Source organism: Homo sapiens, chromosome 7 (assembly GCF_000001405.40).
Source record: "Homo sapiens chromosome 7, GRCh38.p14 Primary Assembly".
Lineage (NCBI taxonomy): Eukaryota > Metazoa > Chordata > Mammalia > Primates > Hominidae > Homo > Homo sapiens.
Window position 1 is genome coordinate 122554978 of NC_000007.14, and position 18589 is coordinate 122573566.

The 18589-nt window shown below is 35.8% G+C and overlaps 1 protein-coding gene and 1 long non-coding RNA gene across 30 annotated transcripts in view; one reads left to right on the forward strand and one right to left on the reverse strand.

Moving 5' to 3' along the window:
• Positions 1-8545, forward strand: part of LOC105375481 (uncharacterized) — a 35791-nt gene extending 27246 nt beyond the window's left edge. Inside the window, exon 4 of the long non-coding RNA XR_001745347.2 lies at positions 8367-8545. This is a non-coding gene — a long non-coding RNA (uncharacterized LOC105375481). The remainder of the gene's footprint in view (positions 1-8366) is intronic.
• The window catches only part of CADPS2 (calcium dependent secretion activator 2), a 568050-nt gene that overhangs the window by 236567 nt on the left and 312894 nt on the right, over positions 1-18589 (reverse strand). The window lies entirely within an intron of this gene.

The window sequence follows — 18589 nt, forward strand, 5'->3', positions numbered from 1 at the left end:
ATACTCAAGAGACACCCATAATTTCAAGAAAATTCTAAACTCCTCAGGGCAAAGCCGTTCAGAAAGATATTCTTTGACATTATGGATAACATGCTTAAAAACCAAAGTCAATTATTTGAAACAGCACAAATATGCCTCATGTTTTAATATTATCATTGTAAAATAGTATAAAAGGAAATCAACTCAATTAGAGATGGAAAACAGCACATTTTCTGCTGTAGATCAATACCAAAGAAGGACTTTTTCCTGACATGTTTTCAAAACTATAGATATTATAATGACTGAAACAAAGTAATTATTTTTAACAAAACTGCCAAATTGACAAGTGATTATTTCACAACCCTCACTTCACAGAATCAACCCAGGAAAGACAAGCCTACTCTTCAGATGTTAGGTGCCATGCAGATAACACAAGGTATTCTCCCCCTTTTAAAATCAGTTATGACATATTTAGGCACAGTTTACATCTAAGCCTTAATATTTTTAAATGGGAGAATGCTCATTTGTATAGGCTAAAATACAAAATATGTGAAGTGCACTGCATTATATTTTAAGCCATAAACCTGAAGTTTAGATATGAATGGAAGAATTATAAACATTCTCAGGTATTCTAATTTTTTCACAAACAAAATAAATATGTTCATTAAAACTATATTGAAACATATCTTCTTGTGCATAAATCTTGAGGCAACACAAAGTGATTGTGAATCTGAAATTTCTTTGTAATACTGTTATAATTTTACTTTAATATAACAAAACTAAGTCCAGTCTCAAGTTGTTAGGGATAGTCTTTACCAATTTAATAAGGCTGCCTTCTATTCTTAGATTCTAATACTAAAATGTTTTGAAAGCATTCATGGCAATTGACTTTGTCATGCCCTTCCCCTACCCTCAAATCCTCATTTGCAGTATAAGCAGAAATCTTCACTGAGAAATCTTTAAGCAAGACTCCCCTTCTCTCTAGGAAAGACAACACAGTCATAAAAGCTTCTCAAACTATTCTCAACTTGCAAGTTGTTAAATGTATCTACTATTTTGAGACTTTTCTCAAGTCCTTCCTATAAAGCCATAGCTGTGTTGAATCCAGCATATCTATATACTCAAGTATATAAAGGACATCTAAGAACAAACTAAATGACATTTACAATGTTTTCACAATTATGATCATACTCTAGAATTCATTTTGACTGCTAAAATATCCAGTGTAATATTTTACAGATTCTTTCTTAAGTGACAGTAAAGAAAAATAAGCTGATAGCTTTTGGCTCAAACCAGTAGACAAAGGAATATCATTATCAACTTAGAAGATTATTCCAAAAAAGAATAAAAGACTAAGATAGATCTCTATATCCTCTGTAGCTATAGCTGCTATTTTCCTAATAAGTCTGGAAAGCTTTTTCTCTTTCTCCACACCCATCCCCCACACCAACTTTAAAAAAATTATTTGGCATGAGCCACTTACAGACTTTATTGTTTTTTAATTCTTCCTTCTATGTTTATATAAAAATTGGTATTGTACCAAACTCTGAACTCTTATACAGGAAGGGAATATTTAAATTAAAACTTTTGACAATTTCTCATTCTGCAAATGCTGATGATGGCTTGCTAAATTAGGTCCCAAAATAACTGATTTTGGCTGATCCACAAATTAAAGGCTATCCCAATATCGAATACCATTTTTTCTGCCACATTTTATTTTTTGATGGGTATTTCTAACTGAAGTCAGTGGAAGGATTTATTGCTCAGCTCTGTTCAATTAAATAAACACTGAGTTCTTACTATGTGAGGATACACAAAGATTAAAGAACATGAATGGCTCACATCTCTCAAGAGCTCAGTTCCTCTTCAATAGGGCTTAGTTTATGTCTTTTATTAATAGCACTCTTAGCTCTGATAATATCACTTCTTCCTATTGCTCTTCTTTCCCTAGAGTATGCAATGGTTTCCTGATTTAGTTAATTTCTGGGTATATTCACAATCATCTGCTTGGCTTCTCCCTATCATATGTATATCTAATTCCCTATGTTATGTTCCCTCCACTGGAAAGACGTGGGAATGTTTGTTTTTCTGGACAGACTGACTGATAAAGGTGTGAACATTGGCACGTGTAACAAGGGGAGGTCCACAGATACGAAATCTTCTGTTTCTAAGAGAAGTGCATTGGTAAATAAATGCTGAACTTAAACTTCAAAATGGTCTGTAAAATAGTTTTCAGGCTCCCAAATTGCACAAGCAAAAAAGTGGTCATACTCCTTTATCCAATTTCGCCATGAATGAATAGATAAGGAAGCAGCTCCCAAGGTGCAGAGCCCAGAGGGCCATGGAGAATAAAGGACAAGGGAGTTCTTTTCAGAACACACAATACAGCTCTAATCAAGAGATCTGGGACACTTCCTTGGCAGGGTGTCTTCACAGTGCCTGCCAGATAGGATTTCATTATTGTAATTGGACAATTACTGCCATGCGTTTCCCATTTTTCCTTTTTCCACGTGGCAAACTTACCCATAGCTCTCCTGTCCCTGTTCCGTTACTGTATATTGGATTTATCCTGAGGCAGAATGGGGAGGGAAGATGTCGTAGGCAGTTACCATGAACTTTAGTTCACAGGTTTCCAGCCTGCAAAGGGCCACTGCTAGCTGTGACACAGATATTGGACTGGATATAAAAATGAAATAGGACTTTGGGCTGTTTCTCTTGAGATAAGGTGAATGTGTTCTAGGTTTAGGAAGAAAGGCAACAAAACAACTTGGTGGCCACAAGGGTGAACTATGGCACACCGGCTGGCTATTTGCCACGATTCATGCTTTCACCAGTATAGAACTGTTGCTAGTAAACAGCTAATTAGCCAACAACCAGGTTTTCTAGCTCCTCCTGCTTCTAAGTAGGGACATATGAAAGTTCTTGTTAAAGGTGACATGTGTCACCTTGGGAAAAGGTGATCAAGATACAGGTTTGATGTCTTTACCCCACTTTATTCCACTGCCAGCCAAGTTCAGAGAACACCAATACCTAGGAAACGAAAGAAATCAGAGCCCTAAATCACCATGTGGAAGAAAGTCACACTTCTATCAGGAATACCTGTGGTAAACTCTTACAAACCTGATATTATTTTGAATTATTGAAATGTAACGACTTTCTTGTTATAGCATTTAGCAGTATCCTAACTAGTATATCAACAAGGTATTTTGTTTCAAAATCTTTCAAAAGTAAATAATGAAGAATTGTTTTTTTTTATTAGAAGCAGTTCCACTTCAATAGGACTCAGTTCATGTTTAGAGATTGTGTCTGATGTTGACAGTCATAATAATTAAAATATTTAACAGATATAAAAGCTTACTAAGGATCCTTCTGTATCCTAAATTCGCATTTAAATTAAACTATAGCTCTGTACAAATAACTTTTAATATTATTTAGCAAACTATTTTGTTCTTTACCATTCGTTTCTCTTAACCTTTCCGTATGCATTTCTGCTTCTTCTCATTTATTTTTGTCACCAACACTTTAAATGTCTTGTCAGCATGGCACAAAAATGATTTCTTGTCTTAAACATAAAGCTAATGTATCTTCTTCATAATAAAATGTCAGTGTCACTTGTCATCTTTGCTAAGGTGTAATGGAAACCACAAAATGGATTTTTAGGATTTGTTAAAAATTCCATCAAATTTAATATACAGGAGGAAAAACTAAGACTTAAAAAAATGAAATATAAAATACACATTTACACACAGAAATGTTTAGAGTGATATGGGGTTCAGAAGTAGCTTTCTCTTAAAATATATAAGCTGTCACTTCTACATTGTTTCTTTTCTACTGAGATACCTGATTGAGGCCAAACTACATACATTTGTGCATAAACTCTGTGATCTGTGAAATCAAGACTATTTAAATTGCTAAACTCTGTTTCAACAAGCACCTGAAAAACTAAAACAAAAAACAAAACAGCACTGGGTGCTGGGGGAGACAAGCTAGAAAAACAGAGGGGCTAGACAGACAATTCACTACCTTCTCCCATATATGTCTCTTAGCTTAGAGAAAGGAAAAAAGACCCTGGGACCACAATAATTGCACCATATCTTATGGCAAAACAGCAGACACACAGTTGGTACAATTCTAGCTCAAAGATGAGTGCATTCAGCAATTCTTGAAAAAATCATGACAGCTTTCATAGAGGAATTACAGTTTCACTTGGAAGTCTAAAAGAACACCTAAGATTTATAAGGCTGACATGGGGTAGGGGATGAAAAATAAAGATATGGGGGCTGTTGAAACCAAACACTGTAACAGCGGCACCCTAGAAAAAAACACATGATTCCAATGCTGACATTTGTAACATTACTCTAGGTTCTCAAGCTCTTCCCCAAGCTTGGCTGTTCAACTTTTTCTCTGTTCCCTGGACTTAGCCTCAGTCCGTTTCCACCGCTCTCCACGAAAAGAACTTCAATCAGTACAAACACTCATTACATTTTCTGCCATGTCAATTCTCTTTATGTTCTTAAAAGATAAGAAGAGAGGGCCAGGTGCGGTGGCTCATGCCTGTAATCCCAGCACTTTTGGGAAGCCGAGGCAGGTGGATCACGAGGCCAGGAGTTTGAGACCAGCCTGACCAACATAGTGAAACCTCGTCTCTACTAAAAATACAAAAAATTAGTCAGGCATGGTGGCGGGTGCCTGTAATCCCAGCTACTTGGGAGGCTGAGACAGGAGAATAGCTTGAACCCAGGAGGCAGAGGTTGCAGTGAGCCGAGACTGTGCCATTGCACTCCAGCCTGGGTGACAGTGCGAGACTCCACCTCAAAAAAAAAAAAAAAAAAAAAAGGAAAAGAAAAAGAGAGAAGATAACCCGAGAACCCTCTGGGCACCACCTTTCTAGAGTTAGGAAAAGGGACAAGACTCTATAACTGAGACCAGTCACCAAGGAGGCAGAAGAAAGCTGAAGTTTGTGATGTACCAAATTTAAGGGGGAGAGTTTTTTAGGTAGTAGGAAGGGGGCATCAGGGTCACATGGGGATCAAGAGGCTGCACATTGTTGGGTCTGAAAGGCTATTGCCTGGTTAAAAAAGAGAGAGGTGACTGGAGACCTGAGCAGGAAAAAGTTTAGTTGCGGCCAGATAGCAATGGTGTGAGGGACATATCATGTTTGAGGAATAGAATAAGACTTCATTTAAGGTTTAAGTTGGCAAAATCAGGTAAGTTGGGCAAAATCATTTTGGCTAGAAGGTTACTGTGTGTAAAGGCAGGGAGGATGACAATACAGACAGGTAGGTTGAAGGAGATACAAGAAGGTAGGTTGAAGGAGATACCAGAAGGTTAAGCTTATGGATAAAACCAGTAATTATGGAAGATTAGGGATAGACTGTAAGAAATGTGTTTTGCTAAGCGTGTGTTATCCTATATAGGTAACATTTAGTAAAACAATGTTTACAAACCAGAGAATGAAAATCAAATTTTCATACTCAAGTAAAGAATAATTCCCCTCTCTCTAGCTACATACATCTCAGAGATGAGTCATGTGACTCAATGATCAGGTTTCTCATATCCAACTAAGTGATGAACTAGCCTCAAACAGAGGAAGAAGGAACTAAAAACACAATTAGCAGAAATCATGGTTCAATTTTTGATTAAAAATCACTTCTGCTTACAAACAGGTGTCCTTGAGACAAAGGATATTTTAGGCAAATGGCTGAGGGAACATCTTTCCAGATAAGTAGAGCCTATCTCTACAAGAAACCTTGACTTTTTGGGTTTAGTTGATGTTTCTTTTTCTCTTTCAATTGACAGAGATTTTATACTTTAGCAAAGATTCATAAAGACAGTCTCTAGCAAATCTTTCAAATACCTTCTTGAGAGTGTAGAACCTTGAGGTAGCATATATTATGAAAGGACTACCTGAAGTTTTTTTCACTTCAGTATTTATTTAGCAGATGTTAATAACCACATATATTAATATTTGCCCCAATATCAGAACCCTTATAGTATGTGAAGATGGATCAGATGATTTGTCTAAGGGAAATCTATATTATTCCTTAGTAACAGTTTCTCGTGTTTTAATACACTTGAGGTTGCTAAATCTAAATTATTTCTTATTTGATTTAATATCATGGCTTCCTGTCCTACTTAGTGAAAACAAAGAACACCTGCTCACTCTTACAGACACAGTGCTCTTTTGTATACTGAAAGATTAGCATTAAATCTTGTCAACCTTATTTTCCATGGGCTAAATTGAGTTCTTTTATTTTCAAAGCTGGAAAGAATTTTGGAATTTACAATATGCAATTATTCAAACTCCCAACCTTTTACCAAATGTGTACTTGGCCCAACAGAGAACCACACACCACATCTCCTTCCTTCTATACACTTTTTTTTTTAAACAAGAAAGGCCTTTTTTTGAAAAAACAAAATGGGGTAGAAGAAAAACAAAGTATTATCCTAAGTGGATATATTTTCCTTGACATTAGCTTGTTAAAAGATCAAGATTAGAAGCTTTGTTATTTGCATGATGGGAGGATTAAGGATAAAGCAAGGAAAAGAAAAGTAAGATGTGTCAATCATTCTCCAGTTTTTCCTGACATCTCTATTTAATAATGATATGAAGGGGGCATTAGGCAAGCCGTTAGTAGTCTACGCTCCTTGAGAGCAAGAGCTATTGTGTAGTAGACAGGGTAATTCATTTGTACCACATAGAGTCACTTAAATGAGTATCTTTAAGACATTTTTTTTCACCAGTTTTTTATTGAAATTACTATATTTAAAGTATGCATCCTGATGTTCTGATACATAGTGAACTGATCACTACAGTCAAGCTAATTAACATATCCATTTCTTGACTGTTACCATTTTAAAAAAATCTCTAAGCCTTCTTAATCACAGTTTCCTTCACAGTCTATTGTAAACACTCACCAAGTATTTGTTGGTTGGATGATTGGCTGGAAAGATGGATGGATGAATGAATGGGTGGGTGGATGCTTAGAAAAATTAGAAATAAAAATGTAAACCTAAAATTAATACTTCACTGTGGTGAAAAGAGAAAAAGTCTTGATAACTAAATTACTGCCAAAATTTGATAACAGAGAATGATGGTAATTAATTCTACAGTGTGTTGTTTACTTAACAGTCTCTCAAAATCTATGAAACTTTCATCCTTCCATATCTGGAATGTAACAGGTAGAATACTGGCTTCCCAAAGATGCCCAGATCCTAATCCCCAGGACTTGTGAATATGTTTTTACCTTAAATGGCAAAGGAGAATTAAGGTAGCAGGTGAAATTAAGATTGCTAACTAGGCAATTATTCACCTATCCAGGTGGGCCCAATACAATCACAAGGGTTCTGAAACACGGCAGAGGAAGGCAGAAGAGTCAGTGTTGATGTGAAAAGGACTTGACCAGCCATTACTAGCTTCATAATTGAAGAGAGAAACAAGTCAAAGAATGTAGGCAACCCGCAGAAATGGGAAAAGGCAAAACAAAACACACAACAAACAGATTATCCTCTAGAGCATCTAGAAAGGAACAGAACCCTGCTGAGAGCTTGATTTTAGCTCACAGAGATCCATTTTGAACTTCTGACTTCAGAACTATAAGATAACAAATTTATATTGTTTTAAGTCACTAAGTTTTTGGTAAACTGTTGCAGCAGCAACAAGAAACTAATGTGTAGACAATGAAAGCTAAAATTTCATCATAAAGGAAAATTAAATTTACCTTTTAAATTTCTCCTCATAAGTGTGTGATTTAAAGATATTTTTACATATTGATTTCTATCATCAGCTTTGCTTACTTTGTGTGTGCTTATATCTTGCACACACCTGAAGCATTCTGCTTGTAAAAAATATTTTGAAATGCTTAATTTTCTCTCATTTTGTATTAATGTAGTTAAAGTTTTGACTTTTCTTACAATAAACTGAAAAATTTTTTTAAAGGTTTAACAATGAAGCTGATTATTTTGGTTACCAGAATGAAGACCATTATGTTTATATTACTAACAAAGTTCAAGTTCCACACAACCTAACGATTAAGAATTATTTCTGCTATTTCAAAGCCTTTCTTGAAGATTCCAAAAGACATAATCAAGTTTGTCAGTCACTGTATTTTTCAAGGCTCAATTAAGGATAGTGTCTTTTATTAATATACATAGATCACTTTTCTTGTTTATAAGGTATTGATTTCATCCTTCTTAGATAGAGCAATATACTCCAACACAGCTATATCTGTGTTTTTAATATGTATATAGACAGGAAAGCATCACTATTCTTGATCTATTGCCCTCAGCCATAAATTATGAATAGCATAACCTTTACATTACTTTATCAAAACAGTTTCTATTAGAGGATACTGCTTGAGTAGCTTTATCATTTTTCTTTTTACTAGTCTGATTATAATAATGCTTGCCATTTATGGAGAATCTATCAACTGAGTGTCTTGGAATGCTTTGTGAAATTTAAATCAATTCCCACATCACCCCTCAAAGGTAGGCACTATTTTGTTATGTAAACTTGGCACTGAAGTTAAATAAATATCTAGAGGCAAATCACTTCAAATCACTTCAAGATAACAACAGACACTTTCAATTTTATATCGCCCCCCTCAATTCAACATATTATCTCCTTAATTATTTCATAAATATAACAAATTTAGTTTTGTTCTTAATCTTTGGTTATTAAGTACAATAAGAATTTTTAGAGCCAATTCAATGTCAGTCAATCCATAACATACGGTGGTCGGATGGAAAAGAGGGAGGTATAAACAATATCTAGACTTGGACAATTATTTTAGCTGTATCCTTAAAGTGAAGAGCATGGAACATAAAGTTATGGCAAAATGTTTTGGGATTGGCTAGCTAATTCATGGACTACTGATAGATGTGGGTATTTAAATTAAAAACCAACTACAGGTTGTGCATTCCTAACCTGAAAATCCAAAATCAGAAATGCTCCAAAACCCTAAACTTTTTGAGCATCCATATGGTACTCAAAGGTCGTGCCTAAAGGAAATGCTCATTGGAGCATTTTGGATATCAAATTTTTGGATTAGGGATGATCAACCATTAAGTATAATAAAAATATTCCAAATTCTGAAAAAATAAAAAAACTAGAATACTTCTGGTTGCACTTTGGATAAGGGATACTCAACCTGTACCACCTTAAACTGTGAAGGTGAGCTCTTGTTCTTCATATGAATAAGGGATCCATGCAAGGTCTAACAATCACAACATAATAATGTACCAAAATAACACTAATGAAAACCTTTCCAAGTTGGAATACTTATATACTGTTGGTGGGAATGTAAATTAGTACAACCTCTATGGAAAACAGTATGGAAATTTCTTATTTATTTATTTATTTATTTAGAGATGGAGTCTCACTCTGTTGCCCAGGCAGGCTGGAGTGCAGTGGCATGATCTTGGCTCACTGCAACCTCTGCCTCCTAGGTTCAAGCAATTCTCCTGCCTCAGCCTCCGGAGTAGCTGGGACTACAGGTGCACACCACCATGCCTGGCTAATTTTTGTACTTTTATTAGAGATCCATTTTCACCATACTGGCCAGGCTAGTCTCCAACTCCTAACCTCGTGATCCACCTACCTCGGACTCCCAAAGTGCTGGGATTACAGGTGTGAGCCACCATACCTGGCTGGAGATTTCTTAAAGAACTAAAAATAGAAATATCATTAGATCCAGCAATCCCACTACTAAGTACCCAAAGTAAAAGAAATCAGTATATCAAAAAGACACCTGCATGCCTACGTTTATCACAGCGTTAGTCACAATAACAAAGTCATAGAATCAACCAAAATGTCTATCAACAGATAACTGCATAAAATTTTTAATTGCATAAACATATGTGTGTACACAGACACACACATACACACACATGCACACACACACACACACACACACACACACAAAACACTACCCAGACATAAGAGAGAATGAAATTATGTCTTTTACAGCAACATGGATGGAGCTGGAGGCCATTATCCTAAGTGAAATAATTCAGAAACAGAAAGTCAAATACAGCATGTTCTCACAAATGGGAGTGAAACAATGGGTATACATAGATATATGGAGAGGAAGGGAATAATAGACACTGGAGACTCCAAAAGGGGGCAGTGGGAAAGGAGGGTGAGCACTGAAAAATTACTTACTCGATATGATGATCACTATTCAGGTAATGGGTACACTAAAAGCCCAGACTTCACCGCTATGCAGTATAACCATGTAACACGACTGCACTTATACCCCCTGAATTTATAGAATTAAAAAAAAAAAAACTTCCCAATTTGCCATTTTATATGTATGCAAACTAGTCAGTAGTCACTTAAGCAATGGGAAAGGAAGATGGACAGGGAGTATGAGGTTGAGAAATCTCTGCGATACATTTTCATATGCTCAAAAAATCAAATAAATTCAGAAAAGTAAATAACACAGGAAGATAGTGGGGAATAAGGTCAGGACATGGAATGATTCATGGGCAGAAGAGATGTTATGTGACTTGTTCATGGCCTCATGGCTACTATGGCAGAGCCAATACCAGAATTAATGTCTTCAAAATCAGGTTTCAAAGTTTTCAGTTTGTCATGCTGAATAACCAACTAATTTGAATCCTGCTCTTCTGATCTAAGGAGTTCTTGACTCATACAACGCATATAATACAAACCATCAGGGAATAAGAGTGTTTTCTCATACCACTGCTAAAGGCAACAGAGGTAAATATTTTTTTCCAGCTTTATTGAGGTATACTTGACAAAATTATACATATTTACACTATACAACATGTTTTAATATCCATCTAACATAGTTTTTGTGTATGTACTGAGAACATTTAAGATATATTCTCTTAGCAAATTTTCAAGCGTATAATTCATGATTATTAACTATAGTCACCATGCCATACAACAGATTTCTGGGACTGATTCATCTTAACGAAAACTTTGTAGCCTTTGGCCAACATCTTCCCATTCCTCATCCCCTCCATGCCTATGACCCTGGTAACCACCATCCTACTCTCTGCTTCTAAGAGTTTGGCCTTTTTAGATTCTACATGTAAGTGACATCATGTGGTATCTGTCTTTCTGTGCTTGGCATATTTCATTTAGCACAATGTCTCCCAGCTTGATTAAATGACAAGATTTCTTCAGTTTTTAAGGCCGAATAAAATCCTACTGCATATATGAAAGAAATGCTCAACATCGCTAATCATCAGGGAAACGCAAATAAAACCACCTCACACCTGAATGGCTATTACCAACAAGATAAAAGATAAGAATGGCTATTATCAACAAGATAAAAGATAAGCATTGGTGAGGATGTGGGGGAAAGGGAACCCTTGCATATTGTTGGTAGGAATGTGCATTAATATAGCCATTTCAGAAAACAGTATGCAGGTTCCTCAAAAAAAGTAAAAGTAGAATTACTATATGATTCAGAAATCCCACTTTAAGGTATATATCCAAAGGAAATGAAATCTGTATATAGAAGAGATATCTGCACTCCAATGTTCATTGCAGCTTTATTGACAATAGCCAAGATATGAAATCAACCTAAATGTCCATCAGTGAATGAATAAAATGGGGTGGATATTCTAAAGTGACTTTGAATAGCTCTGAGATACACAGGACTTATTTTATTAATATAGTGACTAAAAGAGCTTAGTAATACACTTGAGAATGTTTCAATTTACTTCTATTTCAGGTAGAAGACTAAACATACTAGAACTTCACTCGCTGTAGGATCCAAATTGTACATTATTCTATAATTGTTGTTCTAGTTTATTACTTGATTAGGGATATCAGGCATCCAAACAAAAGTAACTAATTCTGCTTTCTAGCATAACTTTGCATAGGAGAAATGAAACCAAATTAAGCACATTTCAGATTTATTCATTTGTTCACCTATCCCTCCAACATTAATTGGACATACACTGTGAGTCAGAAACTGCTAGACAGCTGCTGTTGCTAAAGTGCATAATATGTCCATGGCCTTACCCTCAAAAGGATAACAATACAGTAGATGCCACTATGAACTGGAAAAATTTAATTTGCATCTTTGTGCCACAGTTGCTTTATCTGGAAAGTGAAGAGATTGGATTAAGTGAGCTCCAGTGTCCTTTTAAACTCCAAATTCTACTAACCAATAAAACAGAAATAGCCAGAAATAACAGTTAGTTTTGTTTCTTAATTAATTATAGATAAAATATCACATGAATTATGTAAAAACTAAACTAATTTATCTAGTAGCTTTTCTTCAAAATTCAGCTGAACATAAAATTTCAGTTTCACTGACTTAGGAAGTACAGTTTGCAGCGAACTCAATCCCATCAGCACCTTGAAAGATAACCTCTACTCTCCCATCACTAGATACTCAGCTTTTAATTTATATGAAAAAAGGCACTGACTATTCTGGCTAGGTTGTTTGTTTTATTTGTCCTAAGGATTACAAAAGCATCGACTTTGGTGTGATGCACACATGCAGGACACCCCTACCAGCTTCCTGAACATCCCCTTTTTTTCTTCCTGAAACAATTCTGATTTTGTTCAAAGCAACAATTGTTAAATAAATGTACAATCTTCTAAACCTTTTCTGAACCTAAAGATGACTATGTGACACTAGTTTAAAAGATAACTAACCATTTAAAGAATGTAAAAACAATGTAGTGTGGGTTTGTAACATATGTAAAAGTACAATGTACAATGCATAACAATAACTCAAATGATGGGAGGGAAGAACTAGAGGTATAATATTGTAAGGTTCTTAAATATACATTAAATGTTATAATATTACTTGACTTAGCCTCTGATGAGTTAAAACAACATAAAATAACAAGACATTTATCAGTAACAGAGCAACAAAGAAGAAAAACTAGAATCTTAAAGAACATTCAACCTAAAAAAAGCAGAAGAGGAGAAACGGGATAACAGAAGAGAAAGAAAAAACATCTAAATGACAGATTTAAGCTTAACCATATCAATATTCATATTAAAATATAATTGAAATAACCCAGTTAAAAGGCAGAGGTGTGTCAGAATGGATAATAAAGACACAATTATATGTTGCTTCAAGAAATATAGTCTAAGTGTAAAGAAACAAATAGATTAAAAAATGGGAAAAATAGAACATGCTAATACTAGTCAAAAGAAAGCTGGGGGCTGGGCACAGTGGCTCATGCCTATAATCCCAGCACTTTGGGAGGCCAAGGTGGGTGGACTGCTTGAGCTCAGGAGTTCAAGACCAGCCTGGGCAACACGGCAAAACCCCATCTCTACAAAAACAAAAATAACAACAACAATAACAACAAAAAGAAAGCTGAGGCAGCTAAGATAAAGTAGATTTTTAAAGTAAAGTATACTACCAGGGATAAAGAAGGTCATTTCATAATGATAAAAGATCAGTTAATGAGAAGGAAATCGTAATCCCATCTATCTATACACTGCCATATCAGATATTCATAAAACATGAGGCAAAAAAAGATAAAACAAATACAAAACTATAGCAAGATATTTCAATACCTAATAGCTATATAATATAATATTTACACCAAAGAGCTCAATGGGACAGAATAGAGAGTCCAGGAATAGGCTTACAGATATATAGATAATTGATTTTTCACAAAGATGTTAAGTAAATTCAGTGGAGAAAGCATTTCAACAGACTGTGCTAGAACAACATGTTCAAATAAAAACTTTGATCTATATGTAGCTCTAGATCTGAAAATTAACTAAAAATAAATCAAAGACTAAATGTAAAAATCTAAAACTATACAGCTTCTAGAAGAAAACAGAGGAGAATTCCAACTTTGGGTTTGGTGAAGATTTCTTAGATACAGCACCAAGAACCTGAGCCAAAAAGAAAAAAATCATAAATTGGACTTAATCAAAATTAAAAATTTTTGTTCTTTGAAATATGATTAAGAGAATAACGAGAGCTATCTATGACAAACCCACAGCCAATATCATATTGAATGGGCAAAAACTGGAAGCATTCCCTTTGAAAACTGGCACAAGACAGGGATGCCCTCTCTCACCACTCCTATTCAACATAGTGTTGGAAGTTCTGGCCAGGGCAATTAGGCAGGAGAAAGAAAGAAAGTGTATCCAATTAGGAAAAGAGGAAGTCAAATTGTCCCTGTTTGCAGACGACATGATTGTATATCTAGAAAACCCCATCATCTCAGCCCAAAATCTCCTTAAGCTGATAAGCAACTTCAGCAAAGTCTCAGGATACAAAATCAATGTGCAAAAATAACAAGCATTCTTATACACCAATAACAGACAAACAGAGAGCCAAATCATGAGTGAACTCCCATTCACAACTGCTTCAAAGAGAATAAAATACTTAGGAATCCAGCTTACAAGGGATGTGAAGGACCTCTTCAAGGAGAACTACAAACCACTGCTCAAGGAAATAAAAGAAGATACAAACAAATGGAAGACCATTCCATGCTCGTGGATAGGAAGAATCAATACCGTGAAAATGGCCATAATGCCCAAGGTAATTTATAGATTCAATGCCATCCCCATCAAGCTACCAATGACTTTCTTCACAGAATTGGAAAAAACTACTTTAAAGTTCATATGGAACCAAAAAAGAGCCTGCATTGCCAAGACAATCCTAAGCCAAAAGAACAAAGCTGGAGGCATCACACTACCTGACTTCAAACTATACTACAAGGCTACAGTAACCAAAACAGCATGGTACTGGTACCAAAACAGAGATATAGATCAATGGAACAGAACAGAGCCCTCAGAAATAACGCCACATACCTACAACTATCTGATCTTTGACAAACCTGAGAAAAACAAGCAATGGGGAAAGGATTCCCTATTTAATAAATGGTGCTGGGAAAACTGGCTAGCCATATGGAGAAAGCTGAAACTGGATCCCTTCCTTACACCTTATACAAAAATCAATTCAAGATGGATTAAAGACTTAAACGTTAGACCTAAAACCATAAAAACCCTAGAAGAAAACCTAGGCAATACCATTCAGGACACAGGCGTGGGCAAGGACTTCATGTCTAAAACACCAAAAGCAATGGCAACAAAAGCCAAAATTGACAAATGGGATCTAATTAAACTAAAGAGCTTCTGCACAACAAAAGAAACTACCATCAGAGTGAACAGGCAACCTACAGAATGGGAGAAAATTTTCGCAACCTACTCATCTGACGAAGGGCTAATATCCAGAATCTACAATGAACTCAAACAAATTTACAAGAAAAAAACAAACAAGCCCATCAAAAAGTGGGCAAAGGAGATGAACAGACACTTCTCAAAAGAAGACATTTATGCAGCCAAAAGACACATGAAAAAATGCTCATCGTCACTGACCATCAGAGAAATTGAAATCAAAACCACAATGAGATACCATCTCACACCAGTTAGAATGGCAATCATTAAAAAGTCAGGAAACAACAGGTGCTGGAGAGGATGTGGAGAAATAGGAACACTTTTACACTGTTGGTGGGACTGTAAACTAGTTCAACCATTGTGGAAGTCAGTGTGGCGATTCCTCAGGGATCTAGAACTAGAAATACCATTTGACCCAGCCATCCCATTACTGGGTATATACCCAAAGGACTATAAATCATGCTGCTATAAAGACACATGCACATGTATGTTTATTGTGGCACTATTCACAATAGCAAAGACTTGGAACCAACCCAAATGTCCAACAATGATAGACTGGATTAAGAAAATGTGGCACATATACACCATAGAATACTATGCAGCCATAAAAAATGATGAGTTCATGTCCTTTATAGGGACATGGATGAAATTGGAAATCATCATTCTCAGTAAACTATCGCAAGGACAAAAAACCAAACACCACATGTTCTCATTCATAGATGGGAATTGAACAATGAGAACACATGGACACAGGAAGGGGAACATCACACTCTGGAGACTGTTGTGAGGTCGGGGGAGCGGGGAGGGATAGCATTAGGAGATATACCTAATGCTAAGTGACGAGTTAATGGGTGCAGCACACCAGCATGGCACATGTATACATATGTAACTAACCTGCACATTGTGCATATGTACCCTAAAACTTAAAGTATAATAATAATAAAAAAATTTAAAAAAGAGAATAACAGGACAAGCCAAAGACTGAGAGAAAAGTATTTATATCACACTCTCATAAAGAAGGTATAAATAATATGACCTTTCCAAATTCAAAAATGAGAAAACAAGCAACCCAGTTAAAAACTGGGGAAAATATTTGAACAGATTCTTCACAAAAGAAAAGCTGCAGATGGCAAAAAGATGCTAAACATCATTAGTGTTTTTGCTAAGTGCCAATTAAAACCATAATGAAATAACAATATATACCTATTAGAAGGCATTAGTACAGTGTACATGTCTAACATTTGTTCTACCCGAGACAGAGGAAAACCTCTATTATTCTGAGGAAATAGTAAAATGTCAACTACTTTTACTATAATCACCTACAAAGGACACCATAGAGGATGCTGTGCATAATATGATCAGCCCCTGTAAGTGGTGATAAGGAAAGAAATACTTTCCTCTACCTCTACAGTGAAGACTCAGGCCAACTTCTCAGAGAATGACCAAGGCAGACACACCGAGCAACAACTTTCAAAGTCAGGCATGGAATGACAGGTAGAAACCCATAACACTTCAAAGCATGTGATTAATAAGCCAGACCTAATTAGAAAGAATTTGCATCTTATGTGAATTAGCCCTGGACCTTTCCCTGTCTGCGCTCCTGCTTCGTCACTGGTGTGGTGACTGAGATATGATTATAAAGTCTCATGAAGAATTGCTATCTGAAAGGATTTAAGCCATATGTAGCCAATACATGTAACTGGACCACGGAATTAAAATTTTTTCTCTAATTATCTAGTTTATAAGTAGTTATCATGGAACTTCTAAAAAACTTATGAAGTAACAGATGAGGAGTAGATTAAAGATGTTTTATTGAATAATTAACTATACTAATTTTTCACAAATAATTACAAAAAAATTAATAATCACTTTAGGCCTTTCCTTAACTCTCACAGACAAAATTTATATTGGGGATTTAAGAATGCCAGCATTATATATCTACATGTGAATGAAGAAAACATTAGAGAAGCTCCTCGTGAAATCATAATCACAGGTATTTTTCTTCAATTTGAAAGCAAAATTTAATGGCTAATTTTATTGAAACAGCACTAAATGACTGACTGATGCTTTACCTAGTGAATTAATATCATATGCTGCAAGATGGAATGGAAATTCTTTTGCATCCTATGTATGTCTAATTCAACTCTTCATATATAGGAGACTTTTATATTTGTGGTACAACTTTTCTTAAAATCACAGAAAAGTTATCCTTCCTCCTTAAATCCTTTCAGATAGCAATTCTTCATGAGACTTTATAGTTTTATCTATGCTTTCCCCATCCCCATGGAAGCAGAGGACTCAGCATCCTTCTGTATATACTGAAGATGTGGTATTAAGGCCATGAACTCAATCTATTAATGGACAATAGGTTCCTTCTGTTTGTAGAAATGTTTTTATAGCAAAATTTCTAAAATGAAAGAAAAGTTATTTTGGCAAACCCTCCAAAAATTTTTTTGTACTGAAGATGACCCTTTATCAAGTTAAAGAGTTACCCAGGAGTATATACTACCCAATATTTCACTGTGAAAGACTCAATGGAAAATGCATTGCCCACAAATAGATGTCCCTTGGGACTGCTATTTAGATTTTTATATGGCTATGTTAGGCAAAACTTGCTTTTCAAGTTTTTCAGGACAAAATTATCTTCATTATGATAAACTATATACTTAGGGATGCTTGACTGGTCAGCTGTTTACCTGCTAGGACATAATCATAATTGTTTCCTGAGAAAAAATCCTTGTTCTGCCTCCAGGTATTCCCTTAGCACCTGGTGGAGGGTTGGCCATCAATTCGGATGAAAAATCTCCATATGCCACCTCTATTTCCGTAAATAGGTATTTGCATCTGCCATCCACAAACAAAATTTGCATGCCAAGTACTTGCCAAATAATATAACCTTCAACTGCCCAATGTCTACGAAATTTGAGCTATCATTTCACAAACCTACAGGTTATGATATTTTTCTTACAACAAAGAGTCACTAGGTTCTGAACCTGTCCGCACATTTGTGTCAATGATGCTATTTATACCAGTGCTTCTCAACTCTGTATGCACATTAGCATCCCCTTGGAAGTGTTTAAAATACTCCCTCCTTGGCATACCCCAAACCAACTAAAGGAAATGCTTGGACCTAGAAACTGAATCTTTTTACAACCTTCTCTGACCAGGCATAGTGGCTCATGCCTGTAATCCCTACACTTTGGGAGGTTGGGATGGGAGGATCACTTGAGCCCAGGAGTTCAAGACCAGCCTCGAAACATTGTGAGACTCCATCTCTATACAAAACAAAAAATTGGCTGGGCATAGTGGCATACAACAGTAGTCCCAGCAACTTGGGAGGCTGAGGTGGGAGGATCGCTTGAGCCTGGGAAATTGAGGCTGCAGTAAGCCATGCTCTCCGGCCTGGGCAACAGAGTGAGACCGTCAAAAACAAAACATAACAAAAACAAACAAAAAACCCTCTTCAGG